At 39.7% G+C, this 16,293-nt stretch overlaps 1 protein-coding gene and 1 long non-coding RNA gene across 3 annotated transcripts in view, besides 1 other annotated feature; one reads left to right on the top strand and one right to left on the bottom strand.

Annotated features, from left to right (window-relative positions):
• Positions 2,751-16,293, bottom strand: part of SLC9A2 (solute carrier family 9 member A2) — a 91,803-nt gene continuing 78,260 nt past the window's right edge. For both annotated transcript variants that reach the window (NM_003048.6, XM_047445572.1), the window contains 5 exons: positions 12,875-13,036; positions 11,604-11,700; positions 9,431-9,562; positions 8,170-8,260; positions 2,751-5,987 (listed from right to left, as the gene is read on the bottom strand). In NM_003048.6, coding sequence (NP_003039.2) covers positions 5,617-5,987; positions 8,170-8,260; positions 9,431-9,562; positions 11,604-11,700; positions 12,875-13,036 — 853 coding nt within the window. In that variant the 3' untranslated portion in view covers positions 2,751-5,616. The remainder of the gene's footprint in view (positions 5,988-8,169; positions 8,261-9,430; positions 9,563-11,603; positions 11,701-12,874; positions 13,037-16,293) is intronic.
• Positions 5,312-5,812: an enhancer, noted in NCBI's record as "H3K4me1 hESC enhancer chr2:103324753-103325253 (GRCh37/hg19 assembly coordinates)". NCBI's record gives its function as "activates a minimal SCP1, AML or CMV promoter by ChIP-STARR-seq in primed H9 embryonic stem cells {active_cell/tissue: H9 hESC(primed)}" and the evidence as "EXISTENCE:reporter gene assay evidence [ECO:0000049][PMID:30033119]".
• Positions 5,932-11,610, top strand: LOC124905954 (uncharacterized). The gene is made up of 3 exons (XR_007087163.1): positions 5,932-6,009; positions 9,797-9,915; positions 11,379-11,610. It is a non-coding gene; the product is annotated as an uncharacterized LOC124905954 (long non-coding RNA).

The following is a 16,293-nucleotide window of genomic DNA, read 5'->3' as shown; positions in this document are numbered from 1 at the left end:
GGAGGAGGAGAAGAAGGGATTGATCTTGCTGTCTTAGGGGTGGCAGAGATGGAAGAAAATCCCCGTTTAAGTGGACCTGTATAGTTCAACTCTGTGTTGCTGAAGGGTCAACTGTACTTTTAAGGTAACATCTCACAGTAGGATTTATTTCTAGTTAAGCAGATGCACAAATACTTAGATCTCTCATTTTTCCCAAACAGGTATCTAAACACCATTTTATAGATAGCTGTCTACTAAAACAATAAAAGCAAAACTTCTGTTTTCCTGTTTCAGTATATTATAAGAAACGTTTATTTATGAGATGGAGTCTCACTCTGTTGCTCAGGCTGGAGTGCAATGGCACAATCTTGGCTCACTGCAACCTCTGCTTCCGGGTTCAAGCAATTCTCCTGCCTCAGCCTCCCGAGTTGCTGGGACTACAGGCACGCGCCACCACGCCCAGATAATTTTTGTATTTTTAGTAGAGACAGGGTTTCACTATGTTAGCCAGGCTGGTCTCAAACCCCTGACCTCAGGCGATCCGCCCACCTCTGCCTCCCAGAGTGCTAGGATTACAGGCGTGAGCAACGGTGCCTGGCCACTGATTCTTATTTTTAAAAGTGACTTAACACAGCTTGTATTGTTCCTTCCAGGGAGAAGATAATTATAAACATTAAGGAAGGAGTGTTAATTATTGCTGATAACTTACACAGCGTAAGAATGAACTGTAAGGATCTTGTTTGAACAAAGAATTGTATTTTGATCAGTCTTTATACTACATCTTGATACAGTTCTTTTTTCTAAGCATCCACTGTAGAGGAAGAAAGTGGTTAAAATACCTATTAATGATTGCAACTTATAACATGGATAGGAGACAGTCTTCCTTCAAGCTTACCAAAGAATCTCCATGCCATTTTGAGTAGTTGAGACACAGCCTCTTATCCAGACAGAACTAGTTTTTTGTGTGATAGCTTACCTACCTAAACCTGTCCCAAGTTTGCTTAATGAAATTGAAACCACATGAAATATCCAAAGCAAACCTAATAAAGGTGTTCTGCCGCTGACTCGGGCTGGACCCTTGTGGGGCTGTATGTATGCGACTTGGTAGGTGTTTGCCTTAAGTAGTCTGTTCTGTGGGGCTGAAGCATAGGCCTGGCCATCTCAAAGCCTAACATCTGTCAGGCCCAGTCTGTGACGTCACTGACAAGGGTGAGCATTTTCTTTGGGGCACCTTCAAAGTACCTTCACTGTGCATCTCTTTGGAGTGAATAGCACTGAAAGCATGATGAACTGTTACTGCCATTCAAAATAACTTTCTAGCTAAAGGTCAGGACTTAAACTAAAGGTTCAATAGTAAGACATAGTTATGGTAGCAAATCTATTATTTATTAATCAGATGCCAAACTATGTATTCATGGAAACCTAAAATTTGATGTGTTAATACACATCTTTGCATAATCTTTAAAAATTATTAAGGCAATAATTGGAATTAACTTCTTTTCTTTACGTTTGCATGGGAAGGCCGTATTTAATATTTAAAAGCATACACCATTTTTGAGCCCTTTTGCAGAGCCTTTTTAGATATAAAAATTAATGCACCAATTAAAATGTTTATTCCTCTAATCACGTTCTATTACACTGTAATAGAGTTAGCCTAGTCTGAGATATATGTATTTGGAATTAATAGAATTGAAATTTTCAATACTCTGAAGCTCTTACCTTTGAAGAATTCTAGCCATCACAATCCCATTCAACATAAATGAGAGTGGTTTCATACACAAATACAAAAACTGGGACTGTTCTGTTTTCATGTATGTACTATTTTCTCCATAAGTGATTAAAGGTTTACATGTGATTTAATATTTAAACTTTGGTAAGATTTTTCATAGAAACAAGGAAAAATTTCCTTTGTCCGTGTACATATACAAAATTTGTTTGGTAAGCAGGGTTATCCTAAGTGGATACAAAGAGCTTCATCTAAATTAGAAATTTAGTCTCCAGTCATACTTATGACTCAGCAGGAGCCAATAAAATAAAAAAGGATTAAAATGTCTGAATTTTTAATTCAAGATGTTTTGTTCCAGAAATCAGAAAAATCACAGCCTCTGTATCTGGTATTCTGTCTGCTGGGCATCTCATGGAGTGACATTTCCGTACCCTCCAGTAGGAGAACAACAGATTCCCATACAACCTCTGCACATACTGAAAGTTCTTGACGTATGTTCTGAGCCATCAAAATAATCTCTATGCTGTGTAGATTGAAAAGTTGATAATAATCCATTCACAGTAGACAGGTTAACTCTACACCTAGAAAAACTCATTTCCTGACCATGCGATTAAGAGAACAAAACTACGATTTATTAGCTATACATAGTAAAATATGATTTTATCTGAAAAGGTGCAGGAAGTTTAAAAAGGAAAAAGGATCAAAAATGATGTGCCAGCGTGACACTGAAGTGGTCTGCAAAGTCCCCATCTGCATATTTGACCTGCACGCCCCAGGGTGGCTGATCCCTGTCTGAGGGTGTCAGCTAGACGCAGAGTGGATGATGCTGGTGGATTCTAAAGGAAGGTGTCATCTGTCAGGGACAAGGAGCCATGGTTATGCCACACAGCTGGTACCCAAAGGGGACTTCTGCTTTCCTTAGAAGAGGGTTGAAGAAAGGGTTGGTTAAAAAGTGAGATAAAAAGTAGCAGTGCGCCACACACTTTAACCTTGTGTGTTCTGAGCCACGAGTGTTATTTTTCAGATTGATGAGAGAATCAGCACGTGGTGTTCAAGCCTCAGCGGATAATGCCAACAGCTGCTTCATCCGGACAAAGTGATCTCTTTAATCACGTTTTTAAGAAGAAAGTACAGTGTGCACTTTGACAAAAATATTGCAGATTATGAAACGTGACTTTTAACATAAAAACAATTTGGGCAGTACAATAAATGCAAAACGTGCTGAGACTCGTACTGTGTTTGTCTACAGTTTTTATGTAAATCAATACCCTCACCGCCCAGATAAAACAGTACACCCCACCATAAAGCTGAGCAAAAGCTGAAAGAAATCTCTTCACAGACATTTTGTGAGCATATACACAAAACACATGCTTTTAAAAGTATTAGACTTTGAAGCCAATTTCTAGTTTGCTCATTGACATAACTGTTCCCAACAGTCTCCTCTCAGCATTACATATAAAGTAATAAACCCCGACTTTTCATTTATAGGTAGTTCAAATCAAATTTTGTTACAACCAACACCAAAGACCTATCAAAGATCCACAGTCACATTGGAACTTTGGTTGGATCAAGTGTTGTTTGGACGAACGAAAGCCTTTACAAAGGGCTACGGCTCTCTCTACTACAGAAATTTAGATTGTGACAATATTTAGATTGTGAAAATATTTAGTCAATACTCTCATAATGACTAGTGACTAGAATTTAAGAATTACAAAAAGAGGAAAGTATAGAAAAAAAGCTAAAGTCAAATTTATTTTTATTGCCTTTGTCATTCAACAAACAAAAAAAATTTAAACTGATAATAATTAAGATTTAAGTTTTCCTTTATACATAGTCATCCAAATTCTGTATGGATGAATTACTGAAAGCGGAATTTGGTCTACCTGCTTAACAAGAAGCAATATAAACATTTTCATGTTTTCTCCTTCAGTTCCAGAAAGTTAAACTCTTTATAATAGTTATAAACATAGGAAACTGGGAAAAATTAGGAAATTTATTCTTTAAGGTCACTTTCAATTTCTGTTGCTTTTCAGATTTCATACTGTAGCTTTTCTGAAACCTGATTTTTGGCATTCTCAAAAATCTACATCACATTTCTTGAATCATGTTATTATCATAAAATTTTATGTCAGTTTTAATTTGTGTTAAGCAGAATAAATGTATTTTTATATAAATATTTTCATTTAAAATAGAGATTTTTGGCACAGAGTCCTAAGCCTGTAGTTTTCAAATTGCATTCTGTGCTACTTTCCCTGAATCAAGGAATTGTGCTCCTATGAACTTGTACCTTGTGTATCTAACCTTTGCTCTGTCTCATGCTCAACAATCCAGCAGTATTCTAAGACTTTAGAACATGAGAAAAAAGTGTAGATTGACTTCTCCTTGCTGGTGGAGGTGGAGAAGGGGTGGAGAACAACTGCTGAGGATTTTTGTCTTAATATTTTCATGTTCTCCTCCTGATAATACTGTAGGCACTTGCATCCTTTGGGGTATCTTCAGTGGGAAATCAAAGGACTGTGAGTGGCTTCATTTAATTTCTACACTCAGAAATGCAGAGGCATGTTCCAGTCAAGTTTTAAAGAATTATTTAGAAAAAAAAAACAGGCCAATAAAATCTACAGTTAAGAGATAGAGAATCAAATATTAATCTTGAATGCTTATGTTCCACTTCTTTTCTTTCTGCTGTACTTTTAAAAAGTACTCTAATGAGTAGAATTCAATTTTATATGAAAATTCTGAGTTACTATATTATCGAATGGGGAGAGGTAACAAATTACAGACTAGTGCAAAACAGTAGGACTCCCACATTCTCCAAAGTGCTTCCTGAATAATATTCAAAACTTGATATCTCATCAACTTGTGCAATGTTAGAATATTGTGTCTACAAACTTTCTTCTTTGTCTGCTTGGAGCCTCTAACCTGGAGGCTCAAAATTCAAACAACACTCTACAGAAAAATTCTACTGAAGCAGGTGATCATAGATCAGCATAGATCACCTGCCTCCTCCTCCTAGTATTGCACAACATAAAACCCACCAGCAAGTTGTAACCAGGTGCTGCCCTGTGGCCCTACTTGCCACATGGACCCTCATGGGTGGAACTTCATCAAAAGCTGCTCCCAAATCTGTCAACACAGTAAGCTGGTGGATGTCTGGGCAACCTTTCTCTCTGCACCATTTAAACAAGAAGAAGAAATGGAATTTAGATGTCACCCCCAAACACACAGTAGACAGAGGAACAAGTTAAAAACCAGTAGACTCTCAGTAGTTCATAGGAGTTCTGGGGCCTCCAATCTGCACTGCAGGAGTCAGGCCATTCCTTCTGCATGACGTTCCGATTGTTTGCCCAGTTTGAGTCATAAGGTGTCTCTGCTTCCAGCTGTGCTCTTCACTTACCGGCTGCTCCATCGGGTCAGGACAGGGAAAAGCTTCCACGCTGAGCTTAGGAGTCACCCCCGAGCGCCATCCTTCACCCCTGGGAAAGAAAGCTGTTCTCGATACTTTTAGTGCCATTCACTTAACAACTGATTACAGATATACATATTTTTTCATAAATAAAATTTGAAGCATATAAGTAATATATTAAAATCTTCACCAAGAAGGATGTGTTAAAAATTTCAAGTTCTGTCATTCAAGTTCAATAAAGGCACACATTACCATTTTTTCTCTTCAGGCCAGCAAATAATACGATTGCTACCCATTAGTCACAAAAGGTATTTTGTGGGACTATTTTTTATTCGATTTTCCTTTTCTTCGGATTTGCCTCATTTATCCGTGGCATGAATCTGTCGCCCTCCAGAAGTATTTAGATGCACAGAGAGTTTTACATGGATTCCACTGTTGCATCAGGTTTCAGAGTGACAAACCACAGCTGTCCTGGGTCAGACACTCAGATCTGCTTTCGCTGCTTCTCTTAAGGCTTCTCACTCCCAAATCGGGCTTTCCGGCTTCCAGGTTCCGATGCCCTCCAGACCAGCCGTGGTGGCGGCTTGGGCGGGATGCCTTCAGTCAAACTGTCTTCCCTCTCTGAGCCAGACTGGTCTTTAGAGAGAAGGGGCTGCTGTAGTAAGCCTGACGTCTGGGTGCCCTTTTCTCTGCTGTGGGGTGTTGGGGGGGTGCTGGGCATATCTCGGCCAGAATCAACATCTACCTCATTCTTCCATTCCATTTTATAGGACTGGGGGGATTTCTTGGAGAACTGTTCTGGCAAGAAGCGCCTGGCTCTGGGCTGCAAATTGAGCACGGTGGTCCCGGCATCTGCGTCTGAGTCGCTGCTATTGCCATCTATCACGGAGCAAAAGACAAGGTGGGCAAGCATTTTAGAGAGAAGGCATTGCAAGTAACTTCAGTACCTTAGTGAGTCAGGCAACTGATACGTCCTGGGGCTCTGGGGAGAGGGGAGGCTAGCAGGCTTATGCTAATTTTAGGTGAGTGGCCTTGTGCATCTTACATAACCCCTGGGAGCACCCATACCCACAGGTATATATTCATGCTAACTTTGAAGAACTTACTGTGTGCCAGGCACTGTCCTAAGTCCTTTCAAATGCATTAGCCCATTTTGTCTTCACAATCACCTACTTTACAGATGGGGTAACTAGGTTCAAGAGGTATTTGTAGATGGTGGAGCTGGGATTCCAACAGAGCCCCTCTGGCAGTAGCAGCTGTGCTCATCTGCCCCACAGTAATGATCCCAGGAGGGCTCAGCCTGGCATCTGGCACACAGTAGGCAGTCTGATAATCACCTGCTATGGAGAAGATTCTTGCCTTGATCTGGAACCTCAAACATGGTTTTGCTGATTTCCTTTACATTTCCACAAAAGGGCGAAAACCCTTTGCAAACAAAGGGAGGAGACAGCTTTGGAAGCAGATTCAGGTGCTAGAGTGCTACGGGTAGGGCAGTGAACAAAATGCTTGTCCAGGAGTTGAGATTCTTGGGAACTGAGAACATGTTTGCTGGTGGGACCACGGGCCACTGTTCTAAATATTCAGTGCTGCCTTGTCTTCCCCCTATTATTCTCACCTCACACTCCTTTACCACCAGCCATCATTTAGGTTTCCCTCTTCTCAGTTAATTAAATAAACAAGCAAAAAAAAAAAAATAAAAAAAGAGGGGTAATGATTTTTCCATCCCACATTTAAAGAAAATTTTATTTTAGATTCTAGGGGTACATGTGCAGATTTGTTACATGGGTATATTGCATGGTGCTAATGTTTGGGCTTGTAATAATCCCATCACCCAAGTAGTGAGCATAGTACCAATGGGTAATTTTTCAACCCTTGCCCCTTGCCCAGCTCCCTATCTCCCCTCTTTTGAAATCCCTAGTGTTTATTTTTCCCGCCTTTGTGTCCTGTGTATCTAATGTTTAGCTCACACTTGTAAGTGAAAATATATGGTATTTGGTTTTCTATTTCTGCATTAATTCCCTTAGACATCCCACATTTTAATAACATGAAATCCTAATATAGTTCTTCTGGGGTTCACAGACAATGGCTTCGGTGTCTACATAAAGATAACCATCACATTAAAAAGATATTAGACATTATAACAAAGCTTTATAGTTATAGCCAGAATAAATATATGGCTGCTTTCATGAAAATATATTAGAATTACTGTAAAAATTTAATTACTTAAACATTTGCAGACTTACAACTTTTTGTTTACCTGCCCTTGGGCCCCATGATGACAATATTTGCTGGAAAATAACTGATTGGATTCTTTAGAATCTGCACAGAATGCCATTCCAAAAGGTTGCAATGCGAATTAAAATTCACCCAGTTATTATTTTAGATTTGCAAACTCTTGAACTCATTCTTTTTTTTAAATTATTATTATACTTTAAGTTTTAGGGTACATGTGCACAATGTGCAGGTTTGTTACATATGTATACATGTGCCATGTTGGTGTGCTGCACCCATGAACTCGCCATTTACATTAGGTATATCTCCTAATGCTATCCCTCCCCACTCCCCCGACCCCACAACAGGCCCTGGCGTGTGATGTTCCCCTTCCTGTGTCCAAGTGTTCTCATTGGAACTCATTCTTTTTTTTTTTTTCTTTTTTTTTTTTTTTTTTTTTTGAGACGGAGTCTCGCTCTGTTGCCCAGGCCGGACTGCGGACTGCAATGGCGCAATCTCGGCTCACTGCAAGCTCCGCTTCCTGGGTTCACGCCATTCTCCTGCCTCAGCCTCCCGAGTAGCTGGGACTACAGGCGCCCGCCACCGCGCCCGGCTAATTTTTTGTATTTTCAGTAGAGACGGGGTTTCACCTTGTTAGCCAGGATGGTCTCGATCTCCTGACCTCGTGATCCACCCGCCTCGGCCTCCCAAAGTGCTGGGATTACAGGCGTGAGCCACCGCGCCCGGCCGGAACTCATTCTTAATGAAGAAAAATAATAGGAAAATTTGTCTAGTTTATAAACATTGGCAAATAAATTTAAAATTTTTCTGCTCCAACTATATTCACTACCTGCAATAGAAATAGTCCTCCTCTTTTGTAGCTTTTCTGGAAGCTTCGTATTTTTAGGTAAGGATAAATATCGGGAGGTTGAAGTGGAAGCCTGTAAAAGAAATATAAAATCTTACTTAAACTATACAAATGGCACTTATTGTATATTAAAGATTAAAAATTGTATAGCAAAACTTCATGTTAAAAATCAGAATTTTAATTTCTGATTCCAAAATTACTTTGTGAGGGGCTATAACTATTATAACTTGAAATAATTAAATCCCTTCCAGAATGGAATGGAGATCTCTACAAAGGGAAATAGGAATAAGTGGGAAATAAATTAGAAACAAATATGAAAACCACTGGGTCTTCTCAAAGAAAAGCTACTGAAACATCTATGTATAAAAGTACTGCCAGAAAGACTTAGAACCTACATGTATGGGGAAGAAGATATGTTTACAATATATATATGTAAGGTGTTTTTTTTTTCACTTTAATATATCTTAAAAATGATATTAATAGAACAAAAAGTATTACTACAGCTAATTTACTGGCATTTCAAATACCGCAGTCGCTAGTGTTTTAAATTAACTTTTAATTAACACTGCTACATTTTACACATAAAATAACTCCTTGTTCACATATAACCATTTTGATTTCTGACAACCCAATATAGGATATTATTAAAAATAAGCCTCAATTCTTGCTATGTGAAACCAATATATCACAATATTATTATTATTGTTATTATTGAGAAGGAGTCTCGCTCTGTCATCCAGGCTGGAGTGCAGTGGCCCAATCTCGGCTCACTGCAATCTCCACCTCCCAGGTTCAAGCGATTCTTCTGTCTCAGTCTCCCAAGAAGCTGGGATTACAAGCGCACGCCACCATATTCAGCTAATTTTTTTTTTGTATTTTAGTAGAGATGGGGTTTCACCGTGTTGCCCAGGCTGGTCTCGAACTCCTGAGCTCAGGCAATCCACCTGCCTCGGCTTCGGCTTCCCAAAGTGCTGGCATTTACAGGCATGAGCCACCACGACCGGCCCACGATATTGTTTTTAAATGGCTTTCCTTATCTATTGACAGTTCCTTGAACTAGTGGCAATGCTGGCCACAATACCTGTGAACACTCACTTCCCCCGGCCACCCCAGCCTTCCTGCAGCTCCTCAGAGAACTGTCAACAGCCACTTGATCTGCAGAGCTGATGATACCATCAGCTGATCAATGGAATAGCTGTCGGCTCCACCCCTGGAAGTCTCCTAGAGGCGCACACTCAGTTACCCTGTGTTCTCGATTCAAGCTGCTGTCCTTCCTAATGCTTTCTCGCAAACTGTGTCGCCGGCGAATCAGAATCTCCTTGGCTTGTCTCTCACTTGTGTCGGCTGTCAGACTGTGTCTGTTGTAGGATAAAGTCTGGAATGAAAACATATAGAGGACATTAAAAAACAAAAACAAAAACCTGATCATTTCCCCCAGAAATTCCAAGACTTTACCACATTTCTTTGGATCTGCACCTCAGCTAAGCACTTATAACTTCTGTGCAGAGCAAAAAATTAAATTAACAGTATAAAAGTTAACAGTCTTCAGATCTTCAAAGAATTTATATTTTCTTTTCATTTTGTGTTTTTTTATTTTTCTTTTTTTTAGAGTTGGGGTCTTGATCTGTCACTCAGGCTGGAATGCAGTGGCACTCATAACTCACTGCAGCCTCCAACTCCTGGGCTCAAGCAACTTTCCCACCTCAGCCTTCCAAGTTGTTATTACAGGTATGTGCCACATAGTTCATCCTTTAATAAAAGTCAGATCATAAGGTTTGTTTTTCATTGAAAAGTGTGATTTTCATAAATGAGAACAATGATTGATTTCATCAAGTGCCATGTCTACCTTGAAGCCTCTTGTAGGTATTTAGCCATCATGAATATCTGGAAATAAAATACAAGCCACCATCCTACAGTCTGTTTTGAATAGGAATTACTGACATTAAAAACAAACCACTTTGAGCCACTTGGTGGTGCCATGCCCTTCTGATTAACTTCAGCACATTCCCTTTTTTCAACTGGGTTGTTACATGAAGAGAGCTGGTGACACTCCCCACAATGATTACATCCCAGTGTTTGAAAAGTAAAATTTCTAAACTAGGGCTGTACATGGAATCCACTTTTAGTTTTATAGGCTATATAGAAATGTGTTTCCTAAATCATAAATAATAATTAAATTCATTTCTGATAGAATAAACATGTACTTCTTGGGAATATCCCTGTGTCCAGAAATATATTAGGTTCTATTGAGAGATGCAAACATAACACAGAACAAGGCTTCATTCCTGCCTTGAGCAGTTTACCATCTCACTGAGCATCTAAGGCTAACAAAATTATGCAAAATCATGGAAATAAGTGCTGTATCTACATGGTACAGTATAAGCTCCAAGTGCTATTCCATTTAACCACAAGGATGGGAATAATATGGTGGCTGTTGGGGGAGCCTTAAAAACTGGAGGCTTTTGACCAGCTGACAGGAAGGTGTGAGATGCTCCCAGGGGACAGCGAGAAAGCTACCTGGGCCAAAGAACGAAAACAGAACCTCTCACTCCCTGGGTGTTTCAGGGAGCAGATGGGTGAGGCAGATGTGGAAATATGGTTGGATAAAGTGGAACTTGGAAATAGAGTCCAAATTTTCAACGAATAGTTTAGCTTGGGAGCCACAACTAATGTTTTGTTTCATTTTAAATTAAAAGGTACTGTAGGAAAAAGGGTCAGGTAAGAGTCACGTGGATGAAATGGGGACACCTTATGGGGACACCAGCTAAGAAGCTGCTGAAACAGCCCCCACATGAGCAAGGAGGACTCCTGACAAGCTGTGTGGCCCGTGTGCCACTTCACCTCCCTGTGCCTCAATTTCTTTATCTGTGAAATGGCGACAACAGTAACACCTACCACTCACTGGAGGATTAAATGAGTTAATGCATGCAACACACTGAAATGGGGCTTGGAAAATTGAGGACACTCTCTACTCTGTAGCTGTGTTGTTAGCAAATTATTAGAATAAGGTGCTAACAATGGAAACGAAGTGAAAGAAGTGGCTCAGAAGAGAAGAAACTATAGCACTTTATAAATAACAAGGAGGGTGAGGTCCATTTTTAAAGTCTAAGCTATAAAACTATTTCTTTAAAACAAACAGCAATCAATTCATTTCTTTAAAATTAGTCAACGTGTATTTCTTTGTATCCAAGCCCACAGCAGCAGAACTCCCAGGGGACCCCAAGGCTTCAGCCATGGTGTCCAGGAGGATAGTAGGACCCTGAAGAGGGATGGAGAGAAGCAGAAGGAGAGAAGATGCCCAGCATGGGACCTGCTGAGCCCAGTGTCAAGATGCAGCCTCCAGTTACAGCACAAAACCAGAAGGCATCCTGTTAGCCAAAGGTAAGTAAATATTTTGCTACATAAATTATTCTTACTCGCTGACGGATTTGATAGAGATTTCTTGATAAGAGTTCTCGAATTTCATCAGTTTCACTGGACGTGACCTTCCTTATTTTTTCTTCACGACAATCACTGTGAAAGTTTAGAAAAAGAATATTTTACCTTTCAACAAATATTAGAATCATTGATTTTCTTCCTTAGAGATATAAGTATTTAAGACAAGTCTTAATTTGTAAAAATAGCACTTAGGGATTATTCAATAACTTAAAATAATTCCAAATTCTGTGACTCTTATTTCAGTTTCAAAATCATTCATGGCAAGTTTAACAATTCACAAGTTTTCAGAATCTATTCATGTCATTATGTTTTCAGGGAAGAAAAACTACAATGGCTTATAATGCTACCTCACTTTATTATTTCTAACACTCCATAAATAAAGTAAAATAGAATAGTTTTCTCCAACAGAAACCTAATTGACTTCAATTTACCATTAAGTTTTCATATTTTAAAAACCTCATCATAAATATTTGCAAACACACCATTTATAACATGTATGTATATCCAGTCAATCCTCATTTGTGGGTTCCATAATCATGAACTCACCTCACCTACTTGCTAATATTGATTTATAAACCCAATATCAGAATTTCAGTATTTTTGCAGTTATTCTCAGACATATGGAGAGTGACAAAAAATTTGAGTCACTTGACACAGTTTCCCTGAAGATGTTGAACAAGGAGACATCTGCTTTCTTGTTTCCACTCTCATACTATAAATAATGTCCTTCTCACAGTCTATTTAGTGACATGATTTTTTAATATTTTTATGTTATTTATTGGTGGTTCTGCTGCTTTAAATGGCCCCCAGGCATTGCTGAAGTGCTGTCTAGAGTTCCCAAGCACAAGAACCCTGTGATGTGCCTTATGGAGAAAATTTGTTAACTAAGCTTGATCATACATGAATTTATAGTGTTCTTGACCATCAATTCAATGTTAATGAATTAGCAATATATATTAAATAAGGTGTCTGTAAACATAAACATACATAAAATAGGTTACATATTGATTGGCTGATGAAAATTTTGTGACCACAGGCTCAAAGGAACCTAACCTTTATGTCCCCATAGAAAAATGATTCAGTATTTGCAGCTGGGCACAGTGGCTCATGCCTGTAATCCCAGCACTCTGGGAGGCCGAGGGGGGCGGATCAATTAATAATAATTTTTTTAAAATTATTATTACCAGTTTCAAAATACTATCAATGCCTATTTAACAATACTAACTTTTATTTGCAAGACCATACTTACTTTAGAGATGCAAATGTAGGGACAGTACTTATCATCCCAGTCTCTGCCATCTCAATGGCATGTTTTATTTCAAGCTTTTTATATAAAGATACAATACTTGACTTTGGTTGGTTTTCCCGAATCAAAAGCTTCCGCAGATATTTATCATCAAACTTCTTAAACCTGTAAATAAAGAAACTTTCAATAAATTAATACTGGATTGACTAAGAAAATAGTTGTTGTTTTTACCAATGAAGTCATTTCTGCCATTCCCAGGAAAATACTTAGTAGCAGCATTTAGCTAATCTGGTCATTTTATATATTTAGTATGTGCCTACCTGTATATATGTATATGTGTATGTGTATATATGTATATATGTGTATGCGTATGTATATGTATGTGTATGTATACATATGTATATATACATACACATACACATATATGTATATATGACACATACTGCTACATTTTTGTATATGACCCTGATGCACATAAATCTAGTATTCATTAATTACAGATTAAAATACATGTTTCTGTCTTTACCATTTCTCTACTTCTGCTTTTAGCGAAATTGCTCAGAAACGTTATCACTGTTTGTTTTCCCCAATTCCTCTCCTCTGATTCTCTCTTGAACATTCACATTGCCTCAATACTCCATTAAAGCTACTCTTATCAAAGTGGTCTGTGAACCTCATGATATAACTGCAGTGGGCAATTATGAATCCTCATCTTTCCTGCCCTCACTTGTGTAAACTATTGTCTTCATTTGGCTTCCAGGACACCACCCTGGGGTACCCCAACCTCCTTCTCACCCTCCCTCTCAGTTTTGTTTTCTTCTTTTGACCTGTTAATGTAGGAGTGCTCTGGGCCTCGGTTCTTAATCCTCTTTCATACCGCCACTCACTCCCGTCACCATCTTGCCCAGTCTCCTAGCTTTTAATAGCATCTCTATGCCAATGACCCCCAGATTTGTATCTCCAGCTCCAACCTCTCGGCCAAACCCCAGATATGAGCTTTTGGCTACTTACTCAACATCTGCAGTTGGATATCTATGGGGCATCCCAAATTTAACATATTCAAACTGAACTGATATTCTGCCAGAGTCCTCCCATCTCAGCAAACGATGACTCCACCAGGTCAAAAATCCTGGTGTCATCCTGGATTCTTCTACTTTTCTCATGTTCTATGTTATGGGCTGAATTGTGTCCCGCCAAAAATTCATATGTTAAAGTCTAATCCCCAGTAGCTCAGACTATGACCACATTTGAAGATCTAGTGTTTACAGAAGTGATTAAGTTGAGGCCATCAAAATGGGCCCAAATCCAAAATGACTGGTGTACTTATAAAAAGAAGAGGTTTGGATTCCAAAACATACAGAGAGAGGGAAGATGATGTGAAGAGGCAGGGAGAAGACAGCCATCTACAAGCCAAGCAGAGGGGCGTAGAACAGAACCTTCCCTCGTGGCCCTCAGAAGAAATGAGCCCTGCTGACACCTTGCTGTCTGACTTCTAGCCCCCAGGATTATGAGACAATTCATTTCTGTTGAGCCACTCAATCTGTGGTACTTTGGTTATGGCAGCCCTAGCAGACTAGTACTCCAAATCTTTGCGCCATCAGCAATTTCTGTTGGTTCCACATCAAAATACATACAAAATCCAGCCATCTCCCACCTCATCTAATGCTATCACCCAGGTCCAAGACATCATTCTCTCTCGGATTCTTGTAGTGAGCACCAAATTGGCATTCCTGCTTCCACCATTGCATTCCTACAGAAGCCCAAGTGCTCCCGTTAAAAATATGTCTAATGATGTAACTGTCCTGCATCTTCCTTGGGTACAAGTACAATGGTCTGTGACTTCCTACACAATCTGGATCTGGCCCTCTTGGTACTGTGCCCCTCTTCCTTAGCTGCAGCGTCACTGGTGTCCTTCCTATCTTAAAGACTTACCAGCAGTGCTCCCATGTCTGAGTCTTTATACTTACTATTCCTTCTACTAGGAATCCTTTTCCCCCAGATACCTTCAGGGCTCACTTTTTACACTTCTTTTAAGTCTTTCCTTGACAATCATTTTCTCACAAGTGCCCTTCCTATCCATCCTGTTAGAATTGCACACAACCTTCCTCCCCCAGCAGTCCCCATCTCGCTGCCCAGATGTATTTTTCCCCATAGTAGTTATCACTTTCTAGCATGACATACAATTTACTTGTCTTACTTTCTGTCTCCTAGCACAGAATGTAAGGTCTACATGGGCAGAGATTTTTTTTTCTGTGTCACCAGTGCCTGGCACACTGTAAGCACGTGTGGTAGAATGAATCATTTGGTCCCAAGTCCTCCCTGTATCCACACCCTCTGCCATATTACTTGGCAATGACCTTCCATCATGGCACAGATGACTTGCTTTGCCCTGTTCCTTGCCAGCGTGCTCAATAATGTTCCTTGCTTTGGTCAGTGGGCTATTAGCAGACACAATGAAAGAAACAGTGGCTTAACCTGGGCTTGCACATGGAGGCTTACCTCTTGTGCTTCAACAATCACTATTAGAAGGATATGCAGAGTGGCTCCTTAGTCCGAGGACAAAGGTGACTGTCACATGGAGCAGAGTCACCTCACTCCAATCACACCAGATAGATCTAGCCAGAATCAGCTGGCAGCCAGCCAACCCACTGGAGCACATGAACAAGCCTGGCCCCAACTGGCCAAGCCCAACCCCAATCAGCCTCTTGACTCATGCACTTTAATAATAATGACGTGTTCTGAGCAGCTGAGTTTTGGGGATGGTTTGTTATACAACATTATTATGCCAATACATAAGTGAAGCAGCATGCAATAAATATTTGTTGAGAAAGAAATAAGTGTACTACGTGATCACCACAAGCCCAAGGAGGTTTATAGACACACCTGTGCCGTGGAAGGAATCGATGTTAACCTACATTCTTGTTGATAGTCCTTTGTTCTAAATACTAGAGGGCTCTGAATAATTAAAGAAGAGCCATCCTGAATGTGCTTGGTTTTTGGCTGGCCACTACACTAAGGACTGGGTTTACTTTTCTCTACTTTTAATTGGAGTTTTATGTTAGGCCCATTGGACCAGGACTCCTGACAGCAACACATCTTTTAAAACTTCTTTTATTATTATTGTTGTTTTAGCTTTTCACTAGAGAGAGTAAAAGGAAGAACAAGCACCAAGAACAATGGCATCTGCTCTATTTCGTGTAGGGATAGTGCGTTTTCCTTGCTTCATTTCCACACCTTTCATTTCTCTGCTAAGCTACACATAGGCATTCTATTTCACCATCATTAGACTGCTTGTGCCAAGAGTGAGAAGGGTCCCTACTGTATCACCCTTCGTTTCATTCTCAAAGGATCAAATGCCTCAAGAATTCTCTGGCAGAACCACTGGAAATCCACAGCATAAGGATTCCAGAGAAAAGGGAAGA

The sequence above is a fragment of the Homo sapiens genome, chromosome 2 (assembly GCF_000001405.40).
Source record: "Homo sapiens chromosome 2, GRCh38.p14 Primary Assembly".
Lineage (NCBI taxonomy): Eukaryota > Metazoa > Chordata > Mammalia > Primates > Hominidae > Homo > Homo sapiens.
The sequence above is the reverse complement of the archived record's forward strand: the minus strand, read 5'-3'. Positions and strand labels throughout refer to the sequence as shown.